General features: G+C 40.8%; 1 long non-coding RNA gene across 3 annotated transcripts in view; it reads left to right on the plus strand.

Moving 5' to 3' along the window:
* LOC124901991 (uncharacterized) overlaps window positions 1-26,916 on the plus strand; it is a 45,617-nt gene that overhangs the window by 7,968 nt on the left and 10,733 nt on the right. For 2 of the 3 annotated variants that reach the window (XR_007061028.1, XR_007061029.1), the window contains exon 2: window positions 1,693-4,803. The exons of the other annotated variant lie outside the window; for it this stretch is intronic. This is a non-coding gene — a long non-coding RNA (uncharacterized LOC124901991). Of the gene's footprint in view, window positions 1-1,692; window positions 4,804-26,916 lie in introns of those variants that run through there. 3 annotated transcript variants of the gene reach the window in all.

A 26,916-nucleotide genomic window follows, 5' to 3' on the forward strand; every position in this document is an offset into this window, starting at 1 on the left:
AGAAGAAAACACAGGACTTTGAATTAGACAAAGATTTCTGAGATAGAACACGAAAGTATGAACCATGAAAACTTGATAAATTGGATTTCATCAAAAATTTAAACATCTGCTTTTCAAAAAACATTGTTAAGAAAGTGGAAAAACAAGCCACAGACTTGGAGAAAATGTTTGAAAAACACCTATTTGATAAAGGATTTGAAGTCAGAGTATGTAAAGACTTTCACAACTCAATAATAAGAAAACAGACAACCCAATAATTAAAATGAGCAACAGATTTGAATTCACCAAGGAAGAGGTACAAATGACAAATAAACACATGAAGAGATATTCAACATAATTAACAGAGTGCAAATGCAGTAGGAAATGGAAATTAAAACCACAATGAGATATCACTGTACATGCATTAAAACAGCCAAACTTTTAAAAACTGACAATATCAAGTTCTGAGGAAGATGCAAAGCAACAGGAACTCATACATTGTTGGCATGCAAAATGGTATAATCACTTGGGAAAAGTTTGGCAGTTTTCTTAAAAAGCTAATTTATACTCAGTAACCCTCTCCCAAGGACCAAGAGAAATGAAGATGTGCGCCCACACAAAGACCTGTATGCAAAGGTTTATAGCATTTTTATTTATAATTGGCCCAAATTGGAAGCAATTCAAATGTTCATCAACTGAGAGAAACAGACAAATCCTGATAGCACTCACTAATCAAAAGGAATGAACTACACAAGCAACAACATGGATGAATCTTAAAAGCATTATACTAAATGAAATAAACCAGATGCAAAGGCTCTGGTTTGATTATCTAGTAAACAAATAGACTCCTGTTTGAATGCCATTTACATGACATTCTGAAACAGTCAAAACTATGGGGACAGAAATTAGATCAGTGGTTGCCACAGACTAGGGTGTGTGGGTGAGGGACATGAGGGAATTTGGGGGGTGAGGGTGATAGAAATAATCAATAATTTGTCATGGTTGTTGTATGACTGCATTTGTTTGTCAAAACTCATAGAGCTGTATGCATAATATCATAAACTTGAAAAACCAGTATCTTTTATCCTGATAAAAACCCTCAACCATTCATCCTACCCCATTTATTTATTTACTTACTTGAGTGTGAGTTCTCTAAGGGAGGAGCCTTTTTCTGTCTAGTTTGTATTCAGCTAATATTTATTCATTGTTTACTACATGCAAGCATACATCTTGACTGGAAAGTCAAGATGGAACAAGATAGTATTTTTCCTCTCAATATACAGTCTGAGGGTTAGTTTTTGCCTGATCCTATTCCTTTCCTTTTGAAGCAAATTTTGTGGAAGAAACATCTAAACTTAATGCTAATATTTTGTTTTTCGTTTGGTCCTTAACTTGCTGCAGTCCAGGTTTCCCATCCATTTTAATAAAATTCCTCTTATTAGGCTATCAAAGACCTCCAAATGGCTGAATTCAATAGAGACTTTTCAGTCCTTTTTTCGTTTGACCTCCTTATGATATTTGAACTGTTCATTCTACTCTGCTTAAACATCTTCCTTCCCTTGATTCTGGAGGCACCACTCAGTTCTGATGTTTGATTTTTCCAGACCTCTACACAGGTTACTCTTTTTCTTTTTTTTAGTTACCCAGCAACTTTGTGTCCCTCAGGGCCCTAATATTTTGCTCTTTTCTCTTCTTACACCATGTTCTTCCTAGGAAGGAGGAGGAAGACACCAGTCCCCACTTCTACCTCACCCTTGCACTTTTAAGAAGACTTCTTGGAAGTCCCACAGAACACTTGTTAGGATTTAGTTAATAAACCATGACCAAACTGTGGCATGTGGTCCTTTCTTTCAGGTAGTAATGTGTCTGGTTAAAAATGGAAGTTCTGGTGTACGGTATGGAAGATTTGGAAAATTGCAATTTTGCAAACATCATGGTAAAGATTGATTTGGACAAGAATCATCAGAGAATGCTAAATCTAGGCAAGAAAGTTTGTTGAAGAGCAGAATATTTCTGTGGTCTTAAAGTATTTTTCCACTAATCACAAATTGGTAACAAGAAGGAAAATAGTAACTATACAGTGGGAAAACCAGACAATATCCTGACCAGATGATCAAGATTGACATAACCAATGAAGAGCAAGTGGACATCATGTGGTCTCCAGATGTGACCGTCAGAAGGACACAACATTGCTTACGTGGTATTCCCACTGGAAATGCATAACTCAAATCAAATCTTGAGAAAACATCAGACAAACAAAAATTAAGAAACAAGCTATGAAATAACTGACCCGTACTTTTCAAACATGTCAGTGTCATGAAAGATAATGAAAAGCTGATGAACTGTTTCAGATTAAAGGAGACTAAAGAGACACAACAATTAAACACAATATGTGACCCTGGACAAGATCCTGGACTGGAGGAAAACAAAATGCCATAAAGGACATTATTGAGACACTTGACTAAATTGGTAAAGAAATTTCAGAGAGAGAATGGACAGGACCTGACTATTGACTGTTTTCTTCTTTCTATCCCCAAAACCACTGTCTTAGTCTTTTGCATTTCTCTCCTTAGTGTATTTCTAGAGCTTGCCAAGTGATAGTGCGAAGTCCATTGTCTTTCTCTTCCAGTCTGTCCTCCATATGATCACTACTGTGACTTTTTGATCTGATCATGCCCTACTCCTAATTAGAAAACATTTTTGGCTTGCTACTGCTCAATCCTAGTCCGGCAAACCAGAAGTAGCTTCAGAATTCCTTTTATTTGTCTGTCTGTCTGTGTGTTTGTTTGTTTGTTTGTTTTGAGACAGGGTCTTGCTCTGTTGCCCAGCCTAGAATGCAGTGGTGTGATCATGACTCACTGCAGCCTAAACTTCCTGGGCTCAAACAATCCTCCCACCTTAGCCTCCCAAGTAGCTGGGCTCATAGGCATGCACCACCGTGCCCAGCTAATTAAAAAAAAATTGTAGAGATAGGGGTCTCACTGTGTTGCCCAGGCTGGTCTTGAACTCCTGGGCTCAAGAGATCCTCCCACCTCAGCCTCCCAGGGTGCTGGGATTACAGGCATGAGCCACCACACTGAGTCTCAGAGTTCTTTAGTGGCCATTTCCCTTCTGCATTCACATCCCAAATTGCTCTAGTTATTGATCGGTCCCTCCACCCTCAGTAGTTGTGACATAACACCCAGTGTGACATCACAAGGACAGGGATGAATGAAAGATGAAGGATGGAATGAAATAAGCCAGGAAGATAGGTAGTACTTTTAAAGCTTTGTACCTAGTTTGAGATATAGGCTGTTCTATCAAGTGAAATGACCCCGTTAATATATGTATATATATTTTTTGATACGGAGTCTCACTCTGTAGCCCAGGCTGGAATGCAGTGGTGTGATCTCGGCTCACTGCAACCTCTGCCTCCTGGGTTCAAGCAATTCTCCTGCCTCAACCCCCTGAGTAGCTGGGATGACAGGTGCGTGCCACCATGCCCAGGTAATTTTTGCATTTTTTGTAGAGACGGGGTTTCACCATGTTGGTCAGGCTGGTCTTGAACTACTGACCTTGTGATTCACCCACCTCGGCCTCCCAAAGTGCTGGGACTACAGGCATGAGCCACCGTGCCCGGCTCATTTTTTTTAATAATTTATTTTTTAGAGAAATAAGTGTCCACTGTTTGTGCCAAATTAAAGTAAAAGGCAAACGAAAATGGCTTTCTTGGCTGACTTCCATCCTGAGATGTCCTGTGAAGCTATTAGATGCAGGTAGCTAAGGATCTCATTATCTGGGTCAGGATTATTCTATCAACAGCCCTTTTTCCCTGTCACAGCTGGAGCTGAGAACCATGTGTCATAAGACTCCCTCTGCCCCAAAGTGTAGAACCCTTGCTGAATGGAAAATAAATCACTGTTGTTGAATCAAATGACCTATTGGGGTTCCCAGGAGAATTTGCCTTTATATTTTAGTTATGTGGTGAAAACTCATGATTTTTATTACCCATGTGGCTTTTCTCCCATTTCCCATCTGCTTACTCCCCATAATTTTGCCAAAATGTGATTCCATCATTCTCTTCAATAAACAAATAGTGTTTCCTTACTTGCTCTCAGGAATAAAGCCTTACAGGAATTGCATTTAGTGATGAATTGATACAATTCATTTACTCTGGACTTATCAAATAAGATTACCAGCAAACAAAAACTTATCTAGAATTCAAGGCAGAAGATTCAGCTATTATATGTTAATATCTATTCCATAAATTCATAAAGTCATGGCTACATTAATATAATGAACAATGAAAGAAGATTGTGAGTATAATTTGGGAATATAATGGTGAATTGCCAGAGTAAAGGTTATTCATTCTGCACCATGTATTCTGCAAAGTCAAGTGGAATTAGAATCTGTGACCAAATAACCATACTCATTTCTATGTAGGAGCAATGGTCAATTTAGCTCCTTATAGCTTTGTGTCTCGCAGGGATGTTGCTATGTCAATTTATACCTAATCCATATTTTTGCTATGTTTCTATTTCTACTTTACTCTGTGAATCACAAAAGCCACTTACCTTATATTTTTGGAATAAGTGAAGTAATGTATTATTTGTAATAGCAAGCATTTCTAAGCTACACATCTATTAATATTATACTTAGACTCTAAAGTTATCCAAGTTTTACAGTTAGATTCCAGTAAATTGATGAATAAAATCTAAGTTACCCCCTTACCTTCTCAGAGAATGCTCCTGGTTCATAAATATCTATGTAAGTTTCCAGAGAATTGTCAAAATTGTTATGTGTTAGACACTCCCAAATAAAATAAATTAGTAATTGCTCTTTTAATGGGGCTGATAATATCTGTTCTACTCACTTCACAAGCTTGTAGGAAGCTTATGAAATACTTACAGGAAAATGAATAAAGTGTTATTCTAATATTAGGTATTATTAAAAATAATATATAATAATAGATATAATAAAAGAAATATAAATCTTGGGAAGACATATAATATTACTCTTTGATAACAAGGAGACATATATTCTGTTCACAGACCAGGAAGAGTGAATTCTACAGCCCTAATCTCATTATTCATTGTCTAAGTGAAATCAACCAAGTTTAGGCATCCGCCTTGAGGTGAGCCTTTAAGGGCCTAGACTTATTACCTGAATTGCCCCACCCCCACTGCCTTATTTAAAATATCTGGGATGTGTGTGCATAAATCTTCTACTAAGCCTTTATTTTACCCATTCTCAGAAATAAGAGTCAACAACTGCAACAGACTCAGCACTGGAGGGAGGCGAGGTGGGAGGACTCCCCTGTCCAGTAGAGACTGTGCTAGTTGTTTAAGGCTGACATCCATTCTTTTTGATCAGAGTCTATGTTAGACAGTTCTATGAGGTGGGTATTTTTATTAATATCATCTCTATTTTAAAATTAGAAAATTGAGAGTTTAAATAACTCTCAAGGTCACATACTCAAGGTCACATAGCTAGCAAGTACTAGAGTCAGTATTTGAACTCAATCTGTCCCCAGGCTCTGTGCTCATAACCTTGACACTATTGTCAAGTAACTGAGTGCAAGGGTCTATGGAAAAGACTCCTAACCAGGACATGAAGCGGAATCAGATGAGTGGAGAGGGTACAAAGGGGAGACGGCAGAACTCCAAAGGCAATTCTGTCTGTCCTACCCCTGGAGAGGCCTAGATGGAATATTTGTAACTGAATATTATGCATTCAAGGAGTATTTGAGCAGGCCAGGACTTGGAAAAAATAGACGGATGCTGTGATGGCTAATTTTATGTGTCACCTTGACTGGGCAAAGGGATGCCCAGATACCTGGTAAAAATGTTATTTCTGGATGTGTCCATGACGGTGTTTTCAGAAGAGATTAGCATTTGGATTGATAGAGTGAATAAAGAAGATCCACCCTCACCGATGTGAGTGGACATCATCCAATCCACTGAGGGCTTGAATAGAACAAAAAACAGTGGAAAGGCAAATTGTCCCTTTCTCTTCTTGAGCTGGGATATCCGTCTTCTCCTACCCTCAGACACTGGAGCTTCTGGCTCTTGGGACTCTAGCAGAACCCCACCTGCTCACCCGCAGGCCTCAGGCCTTCAGATTAGGACTGAATTCCACCACTGGCTTTCCGGGTTCTCCAGCTTGCAGATGGCAGATGATGAGACTTCTCAGCCTCCATAATCATGTGAGCCAATTCCCATAATAAATCTCTCTCTCTCTATCTCTGTCTTACTCTCTCTTGATTCTGTTTCTCTGAAGAACCCTAACTAATACAGATACCTTCATTTTACAAATGAATAAAGTGCAGTGCCAGAGAAGTTCTGTGAATTGTCTAGGGTCATACACTCCTTCATTTATTTAATTGTGCATTAAGTCAACTAGTATTCTAGGTACCAAGGAAGTCAACATACTAGACCACATTGCCTGTCTTCAAGAAAGTTATGTTTTGGTTAGAAAAGCATATAGGACCTCGGCCTCCACCTCAGCCTCCGCCTCCACCTCCGCCTCCACCTCCACCTCGTCTCCCACTTTCCACAGTCTCCCTCTGATGCCGAGCGGAGGCTGGACTATACTGCCACCATCTCGGCTCACTGCAACCTCCCTGCCTGATTCTCCTGCCTCAGCCTGCCGAGTGCCTGGGATTGCAGGCGCGCACCGCCACGCCTGACTGGTTTTTGTATTTTTTGGTGGAGACTGGGTTTCGCCGTGTTGGCGCGGCTGGTCTCCAGCTCCTGACCGCGAGTGATGTGCCCGCCTGGGCCTCCTGAGGTGCCGGGATTGCAGACGGAGTGTCGCTCACCCAGGTCTCAATCTTGCCCAGGCTGGAGTGCAGTGGCGTGATCTCGGCTCGCTACAACCTCCACCTCGCAGCCACCTGCCTTGGCCTCCCAAAGTGCTGAGATTGCAGCCTCTGCCCCGCCGCCACCCCGTCTGGGAAGTGAGGAGCATCTCTGCCTGGCCGCCCATCGTCTGGGATGTGAGGAGCCCCTCTGCCCGGCCGCCCAGTCTGGGAAGTGAGGAGCGCCTCTTCCCGGCCGCCATCCCGTCTAGGAAGTGAGGAGCGTCTCTGCCCGGCCGCCCATCGTCTGAGATGTGGGGAGCGCCTCTGCCGGGCCGCGACCCCTTCTGGGATCTGAGGAGTGTCTCTGCCTGCCCGACCGCCACCCCGTCTGAGAAGTGAGGAGCCCCTCCGCCCGGCAGCCGCCTGGTCTGGGAAGTGAGGAGCGTTTCCGCCCGGCAGCCGCCCCATCCAGGAGGTGGGGGGCAGCCCCCGCCCCGCCAGCCGCCCCATCCGGGAGGGAGGTGGGGGGCAGCCAGCCGCCCCGTTCGGGAGGTGGGGGGCGCCTCTGCCCGGCCGCCCTGTCTGGGAAGTGAGGAGACCCTCTGCCCGGCCGCCACCCTGTCTGGGAGGTGTACCCAACAGCTCATTGAGAACGGTCCATGATGACGATGGCGGTTTTGTTGAATAGAAAAGGGGGAAATGTGGGGAAAAGAAAGAGATCAGATTGTTACTGTGTCTGTGTAGAAAGAAGTAGATATAGGAGACTCCATTTTGTTCTGTACTAAGAAAAATTCTTCTGCCTTGGGATGCTGTTAATCTATAACCTTACCCCCAACCCCGTGCTCTCTGAAACATGTGCTGTGTCCACTCAGGGTTAAATGGATTAAGGGCGGTGCAAGATGTGCTTTGTTAAACAGATGCTTGAAGGCAGCATGCGCCTTAAGAGTCATCACCACTCCCTAATCTCAAGTACCCAGGGACACAAACGCTGCGGAAGGCGGCAGGGACCTCTGCCTAGGAAAACCAGAGACCTTTGTTCACATGTTTATCTGCTGACCTTCCCTCCACTATTGTCCTATGACCCTGCCAAATCCCCTTCTCTGAGAAACACCCAAGAATGATCAATAAATACTAAAAAAAAAAAAAAAAAAAGAGGACAATAAATTATTGTTGACAAAAAAAAAAACAACTAAAATTCATCCATCAACAGTCTTTGGTGAGATGATGGATATTTTAATTTGCTTGACTATAGTAACCATTTCACTATGTGTAAGTATATCAAAACATCATGTTGTACACTTTAAATATATACAATTTGACATTTTTTAAATTAAAATATTGGGAGATAAAAAAAAAGAAAACTTTCTTGATCAATTGAGATTTGGTCCATTTTTTTCCCCTCTCTTTCACTACACAAATCTCAGGAAAAAATAAACGGTATATTTGTTTGGACTATGGAAAGGTGCGATAGAATGATATTTGTTCTCTTCCATGTCAATGAGAATTACCAAAAGAGTTAACTTTGTTCATTACAGGTAAAAATAAACTGATAACAAAATAAAATTAGCCAAAAGCTTCTGTCTGGGATTTATCATGTCACTTCTCTGCTCATATTCCTTCAACAGCTCTTCATTGCCTACCCAATAAATTCTAGATTTTTTTAACATGAAAAAAAAAAAAAAGAAAAGCATATAGGAAAACCAAAATTATGAAACAGCAAAAATACTTTAAAAGAGATATGAGCAAAATGTATGAGAACCCAGAGATTTTCCTGGGGGTAGTCCTTGAAGGTTTCTCAGGGGAGGCAGCATTTAAGCTGATTCTTAAAAGATGAGTAGGAGTTTGCCAGATAGAGAATGGAAGATCATTCTAGGCAGTACAGCTGGTTGGTGGCTGGGTACAAAGTAAAACCCCTGTATCCTGCCTCAGTCCAGTACCCATCGCTTTATAACTGCCTCCCAGGTTCACGCCATTCTCCTGCCTCAGCCTCCTGAGTAGCTGGGACTACAGGTGCCTGCCACCACGCCTAGCTAATTTTTTGTATTTTTAGTAGAGATGGGGTTTCACCATGTTAGCCAGGATGGTCTCGATCTCCTGACCTCGTGATCCACCCACCTCAGCCTCCCAAAGTGCTGGGATTACAGGCGTGAGCCACTGCGCCTGGCCGATTGGTGGCAAAAATTTCTATAAAACTCATGGACTTTGTAATTTTTAAATTAAATGACATTTTTCCTCCAAGTTTTTTCTTCAAGACTAAAATAGTAACTAGGTTAATTACCGTGCTCTGGGTATATGTGTTAAGGTTATGCCCAGCACAGGGCTCCCAGGCAAGGGTATGAATTGGGAGTGGAGTCCAGCCTGAACTTTCTCAGTCTCAGAAAAGGAAGCCTTTTCCTGGTGACACTTAGATGCTAACTGGGCTAGCTGCAGTCCTTTAGGTTACCCAAACATGGGTTTGGTCTTCTGTGGGAACTCGGTAAAACTTAGAAAACCAATTCCAGTTCAAGTTTGGGCTTTTACAAGAAGGATTATTACTCAGTGCTGGTGTGTTAGGCCATTCTTGGAGTGCTATAAAGGAATACCTCAGACTGGGTAATTTATAATGAAAGTAAGTTTCATTGGCTTACAGTTCTGTTGGCTGTACAAGGAAGCATGGTGCTGGCATCTACTCGGCTCCGGGGGAGGCCTCAGGGAGCTTTAACTTATGATGGAAGGTGAAACAGGAGTAGGGGTCTCACATGATGAGAACAGGAGCAAAAGGAAGAGGGTGCCACACACTTGTAAAGAACTAGATCTCACGAGAACTCACTCACTATTGTGAAGGTGGCCCAAGGGGAAGGTGCTAAACCATTCGTGAGAAACCTGCCCCCGTGATCCAATCACCTCCCACCAGGCCCCACCTCCAACACTGGGGATTACATTTCTACATGAGATGTGGGGGAACAAATATCCAAACTATATCAGCTGGGTTCTAGTTACACCATTAGATTAGCTTTGATGCCATGGTAGAGGCAGAATTTGACTTTGGACAGTCTGACTCCAGAGCCCTTGCTCCTAACCACCAAGGTGTGTTGGCTCCCATTGTGCAATTCTGCCTCTCTAGTCTAAGCATACAAGTCAAATCATGGAATAGCATTTGTGCCTGGAAGGTCCTGTGCTTGCAGTTCTGCCACTCCATCAACCTCCTGCCCCTGACCAAGTAAAGAAAACTTCTTCCTGGGCTATTTCTGGGAATTCTCCAGGGAGCAGGCGAGGAGATGGAAGTGCTCACACACCTGCCTGTTGGCAGCACCCAGCCTGTTTCTCTCTTCTATTCTCATTCCCTTCATCAATATCCACGGTTTGGGAAGCTGCTCCAAGGGCCCTCAAGATCACCATGGACAGTGATATCCTTCCAAACAGTGTTACAGTAAAGAGCAAATACTTGTAAAGCACAGGCACTGCTCTAAGGGCTTTGCACGTAGAACTCATTTGATCCTTTAAACAGCCCTGTGAGGTAGATACTGCATTATCCTTCTGTTTTAGGGATGAGGAAGCTGAGGCACAGAGAGGCTAAGTAATTGCTCAAGGTCAAGTAGCAAGTAATAACGAAAGTAGCGATGTCAGAGTTGATGGTCTTCAGCACAATGCTGACTGCTAGTGTTCCAAGATATGCTCCTGATGCTTCCAATAGATGAGATGAAAAAATGGTACTGGGTTCCTTTCGTATGTAAGAAAAAGGGCTTTTTCGCACCTTGGGGCTGCTCTTGGTCCTCTTGACTCCAGGGAACCATCTGTGCTCAGATTCTCTCAAAACCTTCAATGTAAAATCTCCTTAAGTTCTTGAATAAATGCTTTCTAAAGGGTATTCATGGCTGGGTGCAGTGGCTCATGCCTGTAATCCCAGTGCTTTGGGAGGCTAAGCGGGGAGGATCACTTGAGCACAGGAGTTCAAGGCTGCACTGAGCTATAATTGCACCACTGCACTCCAGCCTGGGCAACAGAGACTCTGTTTCTAGAAAAGAAGAAAAAAAAGAGTATTCATGTTTCCATAAGCGCAGGCAATAGTTTATCTGCATTTATTTACAGGCCAGTTTCCTACGTAGAAAAATTGAAATCAAACATTGAGCACCTACTCTAGGCCCTGGCAATTCAGTGCTAAGTCAAACAGTACAAATCCCTGTTCTCATGAGAGTCAAATTCTTAAACGAACAGTTTAGATCTTTGGAGTCATGCCTCCAACATTGGGTCTGTGCTCAGTATTTGAGTGGTTAAGTGGCCCTAAGGTGGGCTTCATGGTCTTACAACCTGGGATGTTCCACAGGGCCCTGTGCTTAGAAAGGGTATTTGTTTTAATGCTCCACTGCCATCATTTTGGAATTCTTATGAATTTATGAAGAACAGTTCTAGGTTTTCACTTTGTACTGGGTCCTGCAAATTATGTAGCTGGTCCTAACTGGCCCTTTAGATCTCCTTGTTTGTAAGGCTGAAACTGTTTGTGGTCTTAAAATGGCTATTTTTTAATCAAGATTTCAGAGATCGTTGGTCCAAGTTCCTATAAAAAAAAATCATTCAAGGTCCCAAGGTGATGGCTGCAGGGTTACTTCCTCCTTCCCCTTCTCGCTCTAGGAATTGAGTGTTTTTGCTGTGCATCAATGGGTTCTTGTATCTCTGACAGTAAAGATCACTGAAGTCATGAATTTGCATTGATCATTGACTAATAATAAAATATAGCTACACTCGAGGAATAGAAACCTCCCCAAACCATTGACTTGATCTCTTTTGGCATGCTTTGGCTCCTGACTTGTGATCCATCTACTTTTTCTTTCTCCCATTTCTCAGGTAGTGATGGGAGTGGTGAGCTGTTTGTCCCTTAGATACCACATGAGGCAGAGGGAATACGGCAGAAATGGAAATAGGAACACCTATGACCCTGCTTTTGGCTAGATTGCGATGTAGGCAACTGGACTCTTAAATTTTTCCATGACCTTTATATCCTACTCATTGTCTGAGACTCATTTTTTTCTTTCTCAACAATTGCTCTGTGGAAAGTGAAAAAGAGAAATAGTCAACTACTTTTTATAAAAATGCAAATGACCAATCAGACTTAATGTGGGCCATGGTGGCTCACGCCTGTAATCCCAGCATTTTGGGAGGCCAAGGTGGGTAGAATGCCTGAGACCAGGAGTTTGATACCAGCCTGGGCAACAGAGCGAGGCCCCATCTCTAAAAGGGAAGGTCAGAAGGAAGGAAGAGAGGAAGGGAGGGAGGGAGGGAGGGAGGAAGGAATGAAGGAAGGAAAGAAGGAGGGAAGGAAGGAAGGAAGGAAAATGTGTATTTCTTTTTGTGATATTTTCATTTTAACTTAGTGCCAAAACCATTTGATTATGCTTCAGGATGACGAGCTGATAGGAGAATTCCAGGCCAGTCAGTAGGGGCTAGAGGTTGTGTGAGGAGGGTTAAGGAGGGTAGTGGGGGGCAGGAAAGGAGAAGTCTTTCCACTGCTCCGGATTCTCGTTCAGGAGTAGTCCTGAAAGACCACTTCTACCTGGAATAAAATAGAACAGCTTTGTCCTTTTGAATGTGGAGGCGGTAGCCTAGGTAGAAAAGGTAAACTAAAAACTAGGTCATAGACCTCAAAGCCCCCCCAAAATAAGAAAATGTTTTAAATGGGAACTGGGGCATAAGCATCTTTGTGAATTAGTATGGAAGGAGACTCATCCTGTCGCTGTCCTAGTTTGTGCTGTTGTGATTGTCTGTTCTGACGCAGACAGTTCTTGAAGTGGGGGCAAGTCTATCCACAGGCCTTGCTTCTTCTTGATTTTTTTTCTTTCCTTTTTTTTGAGATGGCGTTTCACTCTTGTTGCCCAGGCTGGAGTTCAGTGGTGCAATCTCAGCTCACTGCAACCTCCGCCCCCCAGGTTCAGGCGATTCTCCTGCTTCAGCCTCCCAAGTAGCTGGGATTACAGGCACCTGCCAGTATGCCTGGCTAATTTTTATATTTTTAGTAAAGACAGGGTTTTGCCATGTTGGCCAGGCTGGTCTTGAACTCCTGACCTCAGGTGATCCACCTGCCTCGGCCTCCCAAAGTGCTGGGATTACAGGCGTGAGCCACCTCACCTGGCTTCTTCCTGAATTTTCATACTCCCTTTCTATGAACCCCCTTTGGCGCTGGGTAGTAAATTATGTCTCAACGTTGTTGGTGGTCTTTAGCCGCTATGCCTGCAATTTTAAATAAAAAGCTAGCACAAGGGTGTTGACTGTGAGGGAGCAATAATCTAAGAATGTACATCACAGAGAGACAGCCGTTCTCAGTCAATTCAACAGACTCAGCTTGCTGGAGCGAACTCCTGGCAGCACGTGAATTAGAGATTGGAGTATCTTGGCATTTTTTTGGCCAAGATTTTGTTGTGTGACTTTAGGCAAAGGACAACTGTGATTAGAGACTGTAAAAGGTTGGGGAGTGAATGTACCGGAGCTGAGTCTGTTCACTGAGTTTGGGAAGATTCTCTGCACTCTGGGGGAACAGAGGAAGCAGCTGCAAGGAGAGAAGGGAGCGGCAGATGGTAGAGTCTTGGAGTTGATTCTGAGGTGCGGGTGGGGGTCAAGCTTCTCCCTTTGAGGGGAGAAAAGGCAGGGTGCACAGGACCAAATACTACGGCTGTGAGAGGAAGCCTCCCCTCAGCTCAAGCGGGGCTGTAAGTTGTGGCCCGGACTTCCCCAGAAGAATGGCATGGCATTCTGAGGTCAGTGTGGGGCGTCAGGGTTGAGGGGAATAGAGAGAGGATTACATCATCTGTTGGACACACGATTTAGTAATAAAAAGAAAGTCCTATGATTTGCCTTTTAGGGTTATAAGATAGATAAATGTTAAAGTATGAATAGCCTCAAAAGATTCAAAACGACCATATCGAAACATCATGTACTTTTAGGGGGCATCGTAGGCTCTAGTCCCTGAGTGGAACTACAGGCATGAACCTTCTCACAGGGCAGAAGGCAAGGGCTTGGCATTGGTGACAACTGAAAAGTGTTCCAGCAATGCAGCAGAGAAAATCAGGTCACGCACAGCAGAAAATTAAGAAAGGATTCACTGGGGTTGGTGTGTTCATGAGGCAGGGGCATTATGGTAGAAGGGGTAGGAAGGGAGGTGAGGCATCAATTGTCAAGGAAGGTACTGGATCCCTAGGCACTTAGAAGTAAAGTAGATCCCATCTGCAAGTCCTGGGCATCTGGAACCTCATGTTGACGCAAGCGCCAATTTGGATAGGGCAGAAGTTTGCAAACTTAGAAAAACTGTGCCAGTAATGTTTTTGGGAAACCGTATCATTCCCAGTTTGTTGATCTGAAAAACACTTATTATATAATCTTTTACTGTATCTTTGTACTACCAAATAAGAATAATAAACTCAAACCTTCCTCCTAAGACAGTATGTACAAAATGCTTAGCAGAAATATGTTACTTAGAAAAAATTTCCATAAAGGGCCAAGCCAGGTGGCTCATGCCTGTAATTTCAGTGCTTTGGAAGGTTGAGACAGGAGGATTGCTTGAGGCCAGAAGTTTGAGACCAGCCTGGGAAACATACCGAGATCCTGTCTCTATACAAAAAATTAAAAAGTTAACCCGGTGTTGTGGTGCACACCTGTGGTCCCAGCTACTTAGGAGGCTGAGGTGGGAGGATTGCTTGAGCCCAAGAGTTTGAGGCTGCAGTGAGCTATGGTCGTGCCATGGCACTCCAGGCTGGACAACAGATTGAGACCTTACCTCCAGAAAAAATAAAGAAAGAAAGAAAGACAAGAAAAGGAGAAGAAAAAAATAAAGAAAAATTTTTGGCCTGGCGTGGTGGCTCATGCCTGTAACCCCAGCACTTTGGGAGGTGAGGTGGTCGGATCACTTGAGGCCAGGAGTTCGAGACCAGCCTGACCAACATGGTGAAACCTCGTCTCTACCAAAAATAAAAAAATCAGCCGGGTATGCCGGGCACAGTGGCTCACATCTGTAATCCCAGCACTTTGGGAGGCCAAGGTGGGCGGATCACCTGAGGTTGGGAGTTCAAAACCAGTCTGACCAACATGGAGAAACCCTCTCTCTACTAAAAATACAAAATTAGCTGGGCGTGGTGGCACATGCCTATAATCCCAGCTACTTGGAAGGCTGAGGCAGGAGAATCGCTTGAACCTGGGAAGTGCAGGTTGCAATGACCTGGGATCGCACCACTGCACTCCAGCCTGGACAACAGAGTGAGACTCCGTTTCAAAAAAAAAAAAGAAAGAAAAATTTTTTATAATTTGAAAAGCTATTGTGTAACTAAACAACAAATGAAAACTTGTATTCTCCCCCTTTTATCAATAAGGAAAGCCCACTAGGGATGCAAGATAGATGCAGGGCTATTATTACAGTTCTCCATGAAGTCACAAGGACTTGGACAAGATGTTGCAAAAGAGAACTACTGGAATTGGGTAACTAACTACGTATGGGGGTTGAGGGAGGGAGAAAGCAGGAAGAAGAGCCATTTAGGGGAGAAAAATAAGGTTTGTGTTAGACATGACACAGTCAAGCTGATGCTAGCTCATATATGTGGGAGCACCCAGCAGACCTGGGGAGACATGGAGACTGAGCTGCATATGAGGGTCATTCTGCTTAGAAACTGGTCACTGAAGTTGTGAGGGTCAGTGAGACCATGAGGGGTACTGGGGCAGGCAAGAGGAGAATGTAGGTGAGAAGATCAGAGAATACCACAGTTAGGAGGTGGAAGAAGGAAGGAGGGTAGGCAAAGGGTGATGAGGAAGTGGGCCTGAGAAGTGGGAGAAAAATCACACTATTGCTATATTACAGAAGTGGAGGGAGAAAAATGCCTCCCATGACCAGTAGGCTGGCGAGAGAAAAAAGTCCTTGGACTTGGCAAATTGAGTTCACAGGTGATCTTTCAGGATAATACAGCTTCATTAGACTTCTGAGAACAGAAGCCGGATTGCAGGGGGTTGAGGTATGACTGATTGCATAGAAAGTCAGTGATTATTTTCTTTTGTAAAGTTTGACTTAAAATTGTAGTGCCAAAAGGCAAAGATTAAAGTCCGAGTCATTGATGTGGAATTAGTTTTAGGAAGGCTCTTTGGGGATTTTTGCAAAGTGACAAGTGAACTAGAGAAAGGCAGAAGAGCCTCCTCAATTTTTTTGTAAGCCTTTGTAGTTTGTTTTGTTTTGTTTTGTTTTTTTTCTGGACAGAGTCTCGCTCTGTTGCCCAGGCTGAAGGGCAGTGGTGCAGTCTTGGCTCACAGCAACCTCCACCTCCCGGGTTGAAGCGATTCTCCTGCCTCAGCTTCCCGAGTAACTGGGATTACAGGCACTCACCACCACTCCCACCTAATTTTTGTATTTTCAGTAGAGACGGGGTTTCACCATGTTAGCCAGGCTGGTCTCGAACTTCTAACTTCAGGTGATCTGCTCACCTCAATGCACTTTCTTATACAGTCCCTTATTTCATCCTCACAAGAGACTTCTGAAGGCACCAGCATTTCCATATTACAGATGAGGACATTAAACCTCCAAGAAGTTATGACTTGTTCAGCATGTCATAGCTGATCTGTGGCAGCATTGGGACTCAAATCCTGTCTCCTTGTCCACCATTCTGAAATTTCATTTCAGCTCACAGTTGATAAGCAGCCTTTTAGGCAATGCACTAGAATTTGGGGTCTGAGGGTTCCTGCTTTTGGCCAAAATTGAATGGGATATGTGGTTACTTCTTGGAGATAAATATTCCATATCTGTTTTGGTGAGGAGGTTGAAGGAGGGGGGAGGATGAGCCAAAAGTCAGTTGGATTCATGTGGCTCAGAAATGTGAGACAAAGGACATTCACTTTCTCTTACCATGGACTGTAGCTAGAATAGTCATTCTTGGCAGCAGCTCAGTCTCTCAGTAGGTTAACAAGAATTTACTGAGTATCAGTTGTATGCCTGAGTCCAGAGTGCTTAAGGTACAAAGATCAGGAAAGTCCCATTGAGTAACAGAACAGAGAGTGAGGCAGAGTTATGATACAAATATACACAATCACTATTGTCATTATAAAAGTGCTTGGAGGAAATCAACAGTCATTTAAAGGTTGTTTTTAATGTAGTTTTTCCTCTAAATGAGTGGATGCTAGTTGAATAAGATTATTAAATGAATGAAAGACAGTTAATGGAAATATCCTGGAATTAAGCGGGTTTGGTGGGGAGTTAAATAAAAGGCCTAGAATATATATGTTGGGAGTGGTGATGGAGAGGGAGGCAGGGTTCAGCAGAAAAAGGAAGGTGTCTCCAGGAATGTGGACAACATGGACCAACGCTCAGAGGTGGTGGAGTGTAGAACAGATGTAGGAAGGCATCAGAAGGCAGTGTGGTGGAAATGAGGCCTGGGGCTGGGGTAAGTGAGACATGGAAGAGAGTGAGGAGAGATCAGTAACCAGCTAGTTACCACTTTTCTTCTTTTCCACATCTCTGACAGACACACACCTTGTTCAGGACTAAGATTGTGATGACTGTTGTTTGCAATTGTACCTAAATTCTAATTCAGGTACACCTCCAAGCCAATTAACCTAGCTCCCCTGATGAATTTTTACTCCAATTCCCTGCCCTCTTATCCCATGAAAATCTTGCCGCAGGGTGAGAGAGATGAGAATGTGTCCTTGCATGTAGGAAAATTTTAGAGTCAACATCAACATCATTTTTTGAAAATATAGTACTTTGTGCAGCCAGTAAGTCACAAAACATTAGGTTTTTGAATGTCAGTCAAGCAGGACCCTGTAGTTTAATTTTAAAACAAAAGAGCAAAGAAATGTCACTTCTATTATAAAGCACTAATTGTTACCATCTTATCCTTTTGCAATCTGTTTAACAGATATTTGTTGCCTTTTATTTTGTGAAGAAAAGAAATGCTTTTGAAATCTTCTCTAACCTGTCATACATACTTCAATTTTCCCCATCAGATTAGCTTAATGGCACTAGTAACAAAAGAAAAAGGTAAATTTTTAGAAAATGACATAGGAATTCTAATGGCATACACATCAAAGTAGGTGATGAAGATATTTATATTTCTTCTTGATGTCAAATCACTGTTTATCCTACAGAAGTCAATGTTATGGCCTGTGTAGTATCTGGTCTTTTCTGGTTGCATTGTTTTGCTTATGGATAAAATTTTGAAAGGGCATAAAACAGACAAACAAATGTCTATTGGACTTGGGTAGGACGGGGCTTTAATCTGTGACGACTTGTTCTGTTTTATCACTTCTCATATTTTGGCAAACCAGGCTTTGACAGTAGGCTGACTCTTCTTGGTTATAATGTTTAGTTCTGCCAAAATATACAGCTATTTAAAAGTAAAATATCAAGTTCCTTTTGCACCATAATTCTTTGCTTAAAATACCTTGTAGTATTTTAATTGGGTTTCCAGATTGTTGTGTTCTAGTAATGGACACCATATGTTTAAAGAAGCAGTATGTTATAGTGTAGTGGTTAAGAGAACAAATAGTGAGTGGTTAAGACATACGAGCTGGGAGTTAGATAGCCTGAGTTCAGATCCCAATTCTGCCGTTTACTATTATGTGATCACGGGCATGTCAGTTTCTTTATAAACAGGGACAAGGATACTTATCTTATAGGGTCTTGTAAGGATCAAATGAGTTAATACATATAAAATACTTAGAGAAAGTATGGTCCTTAATAAGCACTCAGTAAATGTAAATTCTTGTTGAAGGGCTTGGTTTTACTTAATGATCCTGGGGCAGATCCACCACGTGATTCTCTGAAGTCTTTCTTGGTATAACGCGTCTATTGAGATACAATTTACATGCCACAAAATGCATCTTCTTAAAGCGCACAATTCAGTGGTTTTTAGTGTAGTCACAGAGTTCTGCAACTATCATTACGATCTAATTTTAAAACATTTTCATTGTCCCCAAAGAAACTAGAAATCTGGACCCATTAGTAATGGCTGAATTATTTTATATTCCCACCAGCAATGAATGAGGATTCCATTTTCTCCAGATGCTGGTTAACACTTGTTACTATTCGTCTTTCTTATTTTAGCCATCCTACTTGGTGTAAAGTAGTATCTCCTTGAGGTTTTGATTTAAATTTCTCTAATGACTAGTAACGTTGAGCATTTTTTCATGTGTTCATTGGCCATTTGTGTATCTTCTTTGAAGAAATATCTAATAAATCCTTTGCACATTTTAAAATTGGGTCTAACTTCTTTTAATCCACTGAATTTCTGCTATAATTCTTTTTTTTTTTTTTTTTTTTTGAGATGGAGTCTCACTCTGTTGCCCAGGTTGAAGTGCAGTGTCGCGATCTCGGCTCACTGAAACCTCCGCCTCTCAGGTTCAAGCGATTCTTTTGCCTCAGCTTCCTGAGTCCAGGATTACAGGCGCACACCACCACGCACAGCTAATTTTTGTATTTTTAGTAGAGACAGGGTTTCATCATGTTGGCCGGGCTGGTCTCAAACTCCTGACCTCAGGTGATCCGCCCGCCTCAGCCTCCCAAAGTGCTGGGATTACAGGCGTGAGCCACCTCACCCAGCCTCCACTACAATTCTTTATACATTTCCTTATAATTTGTCCATTATAACTCTATTTCTAGGTAAAAATATAATATTCCAAGAAATTGGTGCACATAATTTAACCATTCATCTGTGGATGATTATCTCTATTTTTCCTGCAATTATAAATAATGCTACAACAAATATTATAGTACATATATTCTCAAGTGTTTGTGCTTTTCTATAGGATAGATTTCTAGCAGCATAATTGTACAGTTGAAAGATATGTATCTAGAAATATTTTTATAGATATGCCAAATTGCCCTCCAAAAAGCTTACACCAATATATACTCCCACTAACAGGGTATGAGGGTACATCTTTCCTTATACTCTTAGATAGACAAGTTTTTAATGGGGTCATGGGTGAACTAATTTATTTTTCTCATTTCATGTTGTATCTGCAGGAAACCCTATCAACATCGTCTTTACATATTTAGACTGCTTTAAGCATAAGCTTTGCATTCAGGAAAAGAGGGAATAATGTCAGCATTATTATGAAGAAGCTTCCCATATCCACTAAGAAAAGGACAATTCTTTAATAATTTTAATATAATTTATAAGAACTTTTGCCGTCTGGTTTTATGTTATGGGTATTTTATTTTTCAAATTTTAATGTCTGCATTCTATGGGATGCTATGATTTATGTTGTATATATGATTGCTACTATTGCTGGGAGGATATAATGGAAATTAAGCAATGTGAACAATTTCCTGAATTATAAAAAAATAAGTAACCAGTTTGAAAAATGTTAACCTGAATTTTTAAGAAATCAAACTCCTTGCCTCTTAGGAGTTAGTTTACAGAGAGACTTACCTTTCCATGTAAGCTGGATCCCCTGAACATTTTAAACATTTACATTTTGGACATTTACCTTATACATTTGGAGTATTTAGTATCATTGATAATCAGTATTTCAAATGCCAGCTGTCCTTTAGTAGTTCAGGAGAAAATAGTGATGCTGTCTTTAAGTCCTTTTTTTTTCTTTGAGACAGTCTCACTTTGTCACCCAGGCTTGGGTGCAATGGTGCCATCTCGGCTCACGGCAACCTCTGCCCCACCAGATTCAAGTGATTCTCATGCCTCAGCCACTCAAGTAGCTGGGATTACAGGCATGAGCCGTCATGCCCAGCTAATTTTTGTACTTTCAGTAGAGATAGGGTTTCGCCATGTTGGCCAGGCTGGTCTCAAACTCCTGGCTTCAAGTGATCCATTCACCTTGGCCTCCTGAAGTGCTGGGATTACAGGTGGTGAGCCAACATGCCCAGCCTAAGTTCTTTTTCTTCTTTTTAGAGATAGGATCTCACTGTCTTGCCCAGGCTGGACTTGAAGCAATGCTTCTGCCTCAGCCTCCCAAGTAGCTGGGACTACAGATGTACACTGTCATGCCTGTCTCCTAAGTTCTTAATTTGTGGTAGGCAGAATAATACCTCCCCCAGGAAAGCCCATGTCCTAATGCCCAGAACCAGTGAATGCGGTACGTACGTGGCAAAGGAAAATTAAGATAGAAGATGAAATAAAGGTTGCTAATCGGCTGACTTCAAGATTGGGAAATTATACTGGATACTCCTTGTGGGCTCAATGTAATCACGAGGGTCCTTAAAGGTGAAAGAAGGAGGCAGAAGACAAGTCACAAAGAAAGAGATATGAGAACTGCAGTGAGGTCAGAGTGATAGGATGTGAGGACTAGACCTACTGTTGCTGGTTTTGAAGCTGGGGAAAGGGACCATGAACCAAGGAATGTGAGCAGCCTCTAGGAGCTGGAAAAGGCAAGGAAATAGATCCTTTCCTAGAGCCTCCAGAAGGAATGCAGGCCTGCCAACACCTTGATTTCCACCCAGTAAGACCCATTTTGGACGTCCAGAACTGTAAGATAATACATTTGTATTGTTTAAGACGCTATGTTTGTGGTAGTTTGTTACGGCTGCAAATAGAAAACTAATAAGATTTGAAATGTTGGCACAATGCTACTGAGTAGCCCAGTTTCCTCATTTGATACCATTGTAGCTGTTTGAATGTGGATGTCTTACTAAGCTGATGAATCTATATTCTGTCCCAGAACTACAGCTGCCAATCCTTCTGATATTTATTTCTTCACCTGTCCAAATCCAGTCAATTGAGAGCTTTTCTCCAGTGTCTAATGTGGCTTTAAACATTGGCAAGTCTGTGTAAACTGCACAAGGACACTGGATATTAAATTATTTTAAATTTATTTGCCAAGTGCCTCTTGGTTCACAATGACTGTGTTCTCTAGGGATGTTTCTTGGTCTCTTGTTAACATGGAAGCAAAGAATGTCATCTCATGTGTTGGTGAGAGAGACCTCCCTTTGTCTTTTTTCTGGGCTAAACTCCTTCTACTCCTATCATGTGACACTAATGAGTACTCAGTCTTCTCATGGCTACTGGTCTTGGCACTGCTGTTTGGCACAGGGATAGGCAATAATCCAGCTCTTTCCTGGTACTTCTGAACCTGGGGTATGACAGCGAGTGTTTCAGTCTCTCTCTGGTGGTGAAACAGTGAAACACCAGATGTAGGCAGCTAGCTGGTGGCTCAGTTGAGAGAATAAAACTGAAGGGTCAAGAGAGAAAACTCACAGAGTTCGAGTTCTTGGCACCAGTTATATTTGAGGCACAGCTGCATAGAAGCCCTTCCCAAAGTTTACTTTTACGAGCAAATAAGTTCTTTTTTAAAAAATAAATCAGTTTTAATTGTTCCCGTGAATTTAATTCACCCGCAAGGAAAATAATCTTGATTAATACATTTGGTAAAGGAGTGTTAGAGGTCTATAAGATTTAAATTTGATTGCTCTTACTTGCAACCATGGGTTAGCAGTGTCCCTATCTCCTAGAAGTGCACCAAATAATTGATAAGTCACTGTTACACGTTCACTGAAATTGTATAAATTCTTTCTATATATCAATCTCATCCTGATGTCTTATATTCAGTAATTCTCAAAGACTGTTTTACAGAACCATATTTACTTCAAATGACCTATGAAAAAAATTAGGTTACAAAGATAAAAGACTGGGAAATGCTGAATGCTGTCTCTTGGAGTGCCATATATAGACAAACATATTAAAGGCTCTGAGAAGTCCAGTGTCAAGTAAAATTAATCAGATAGTTGATAAAAGTAACAAATAGCTTTAAAAGTTCAACTTTGCTTATAATTAAGTAAGTGCAAATTTAAACAACACTATTTTAACCAATTAGATTGGCAAATATCAAAAAGTATGTTACTACACTGTTTGGGGTAGGTTATCAGGAAACAGGAATTTGCATGCATTATTGAAGGCAGTGTAAATTGCTATATTGTCTTTGGAGGACAACTGACACTATTTATAAAAGATAAAAATGCACACACAGTTTGATACCCCCTCCGCATTCCACTTACAGATGTTATCTCGCATTCGCACAATGGTATTTATTTCAGCTTTTGTTTTTTTCCTAGTAAAGGACTTGAAGTAACCTAAATGACCATCAATATTATACTGGTTGTATAAATTATGATTAATCTATACAGTGAAATGACTGGATAGTCCTTTAAAAGTGACTAGACAGAAATCAGAGTTTCTTAACAGTGCCATTTGGGGCCTAATAAATCTTTATTGTGGGGGCTGTCCTGTGCATTGTAGGATGTTATGCAGCATCCCTAAACTCTACCCATTATTTGAAGGGTATTTAATGGATAGGGAGTTTGCGATGCTGCTAAATTCTGCCCACTAGTTGCCAGGAGCAACCTGCTCTGTCACTCTCCCAGTTGTGACAGTTAAAAAATCTGTAGACTAATTATCCCAGGTTGAGAACCACTAATCTATTTTTTTGTTATCTTTAATGTATCCAACTGAGAGAATCACTGATCTAAATGAACTGATATTTTCCCAAGGTATATTAAGTGAACAAAGGAAGATGCAGAAATATTTATAGTTTGCTACCATTTTGTAATGTATTTATCCATATCTAGCTATACATTGATTAACTAAAATGTTTACATGGTCTTCAAAAAGTTCTTGGAAAATGCATATTATGAAAAAAACTATGCATAGATTTAAAAAATTTTTGTACCAAAATTAACTTGCACTAACTCTATAACATGTCTGAACAGAATCTAGTTTGAGGCAGTAGGAAGAATACGACATCAGTTTGAATAGAACCCCTTTTAGAGCAACATGAATTCTGCTAAAATAGAAGCAAGAACAGACATGAAATTTAGGATGAAGTCTGGGTGGAAGAATGGTGAAACCACTGACGTTTTATGAAAAATTTATGGGAACAATGTTCCAAAGAAATTTGTAGTTTATAAATGGATAACTCATTTTAAGAAAAGACAAGATGATGTGCTAGATATATCCCACAGTGGCAGACTTTCCACATCAATTTTTGAGAGAAAAATTAACCATCTTGTCCATGCTGTAATTGAAGAGGACCGATGAGTAACAGCAGAAATAATAGCCAACACCATAGACATTTCAATTGGTTCTGCTTACACAATGCTGACTGAGAAATTACAGTTGAACAAATTTTCCCCTTCATGAGTGCTAAAACCATTAAGCCAGATCAATGCAGACAAGAGCAGAGCTTTCGGTGGAAATTTTAAACAAGTGAGATCAATATCCTGAAGCATTTCTTTGAAAAATTGTAGCAAGAGATGGAACATGGTTTCACCACTACAATCCTGAAGACAAAGCATAATCAAAGCAATGGCTACCAAGAGGTGTAAGTGGTCCAGTCAAAGCAAAAAGGGACTGGTTAAGAGCAAAGGTCATGGGAACAGCTTTTTGGGGATGCACAAGGCATTTTGCTGGTTGACTTTCTGGGGGGCCAAAGAATGATAACATCTGCTTATTTTGAGAGTGTTTTGAGAAAGTTAGCCAAAGCTTTAGCAGAAAAATGCCTAGGAAAGCTTCACCAGAGAGTCCTTCTTCATCATGACAATGCTCCTGTTAGTTCCCCTCATCAAACAAAGGCAATATTGTGAGGGTTTCCATGGAATATCATTAAGAATCCACCTTTCAGTCCTGATTTGGCTCCTTCTGACTTCTTTTTGTTTCCTAATCTAAAAAAAAGCTATAAAAGGCATATAAAACTTTATATATATATATATATATATATATATATATACAAAGTTTTGTGTGTATATATATATGAAACTACATGACATGGTTATTCCCAGAACTCTCAGTTCTCTAGAGATAAACTAAATGGTTTGTATCATCACTTACAAAAGTATCTAGACCTTGATAGAGCTTATTCTGAAAAATAAAGTTTATGTTTTTACTTTTATCTTTTAATTTCATTTTTTTCATAAACTTTTTGAGGTCTCCTCATATATACATGCAATGGTTCTGGAAGGATATACAAGAAACTAGTAACAATTGCTGATTCTGTGAAGAACTGGAGGATAGAAGCTGAAGTGAGCAGAAATCTTACTTTTCATCCAATGTTCTTCCCTAAATTTTTATCAAGTATATGCATTACTTTAGGAAAAAAGCCTAGAAACTGGTTTAACTTTGTTTAACCCATCAGCTCTTATATTATATAATTCCATACTTTTTTTTTTCTGAATAACACCCAGAATATACTTTGGAAAACATTTCCTTGGTTCACTTTCATTGTTTCATTACTGAAGATCCAATAGTTTTCTTGCTTTAGTCTAGGAATGTACTAGTTTTAGGAGACTTTGCTCTGGAGATTACAGGTTAGCCCATCTTATAAACTTGACTGAAGCAGAACCACTGTAACTGAGTTCGATTTTGTCAAATAGCCAAAAGTTTACTAGTCTTGCTTCCCTTCCAAAAAACTCTTCTGATACAAATAAAGTTGTTCTTTCCATACAGCCTTCACTTTAGTTGGCCTGCATTTCTTTTTTAACCTGGCTTTCAGTTATTTTGTGTTTGTGTTCCAATATTTTCTTGCATCCTTGCCAAACAAACTCTGCTGTTTAAGATGGGTGATGGTACTTTCTTATTATAATAACTGTTTACTGAGATATACTAGTATTATGTTAGTACTAGTACTATGTTATCTGTGTCTTGTACTGTTGAAGGCACACTTTGCATACACTAACCTATTACTTACAACGGCCTTGCAAAGGAGATGAGAGTATCCCTATTTTACTGATGAGGAAGCTGAGTTTCCAAAAGTGACTTGCCCAAGATTACTCAGCTTTCAAAGGAAGGATTTGGATTCAAACCAACATCTGTCACACTCCAAAAAGCCTGTACTTTTTCTGCTAAGTTCTGATTCCTTACTCTATTCTGCTGTCTTAGGTCTTCTGTTTCCTCGACAATTATTTTTCTGCTACTTTAAATGCATCCCAAGTAAGAATTTTTCAACTCTTCAAGGACTATGCTAAAAGCAGTCACAGGATGATAAAAATGCTACTACTGTGTCCCATAACAAAGCTGTGTTGTCAAGATTCAAGTTTTATCCCTATCATCTGCTATATTTTGAAACAAATTTGCAAAAGAACACTGCCTGGTCTGAACCTATTTTTATTTTAATTTCAGCTGAAGAGATACAACTGCCCAAACTGATTAAATTAAAATGCAGTTTAGACTTGAGAAAGTTGCATGTGGAAAGGAAGAAAATATACAATTTATCATATATGGGTTCTAAATATTCCAGCTGTGCAAGATACATTTGGGTGTCTGCAGTTATTTGCAAACTGAATTGTCTTTGTTTTTCAGGATAACGAGGATTTATTCATTGCCGTATTAACTAATCTCGACCAAATATTCGTTGTCCACCCCCAAATTTGTGTAACTTTTCAAAAGGCTGAGATACAAATGCCTTTTGTTTAGGGTGAAGACTTCAACTGAGCCTAATGTTAATAGTTTCCCCATCCAGTTACATATAACAAGATACACAGTCCATTTGGCTCTTGTTCCAGGCTGTGGGCATCATATGAGAAGTTTTCAGAAATTAGTTTGGCGAAATTTCTTGCTTTTGAGATCTCTGAAGCAACCAGTTAAAAATCAGTAATGGCTAATTAGATTGTTTTCATTGTGTTTCTTTTAACTTTACTGTATCAGGCTCTTCTTTTAGCAGTTTTCAGCATCTTAGTCCTCTTTTCAGGCTGCATAAATTAGTGGTTTCCAAAGTATCTTTGGGGGAAGCTTGTCCCAAGAGGTGTTCTGCAATGAATGAGTTTTATAATCAAATAAATTTGGGAAATGCTACATTGCACAGTTCAATGTAGTTGCAATGTGCAAAAGCATAATAAGGGCTCTGAGGGATGCAGTAGTAAAGACATATGTTTAATTTGTTTTAATCTAATTTTTCTAAAATTTTTTAAAATCAAAGACCACCCTCTCTTTTTTTTTGTTGTTTCTTTTTTTTCTTTTAAATTAACACCTGTTAAATCTCACAGTAAGTTTCACTTTGGAAAACACTGACCTAGGCCATTGCAAGGTCAAGGGGACACTTTGTTCCCATAGCCTATCTGTAGTGCGCCACTGGCTAGTTTTGACAGGCAAACTCACCAAAACTCCAGATTTCAAGTGAGACTCCTGGCACAGTGGTTGATGGATATGTAGGCACTCATGAAATGTTCACTGAGTAAATAATTTTTTCTTTTAAGTTTTTTTAATTAAAAAAGTTCTTGA

The sequence above is a fragment of the Homo sapiens genome, chromosome 8 (genome assembly GCF_000001405.40).
Source record: "Homo sapiens chromosome 8, GRCh38.p14 Primary Assembly".
Taxonomy (NCBI): Eukaryota; Metazoa; Chordata; class Mammalia; order Primates; family Hominidae; genus Homo; species Homo sapiens.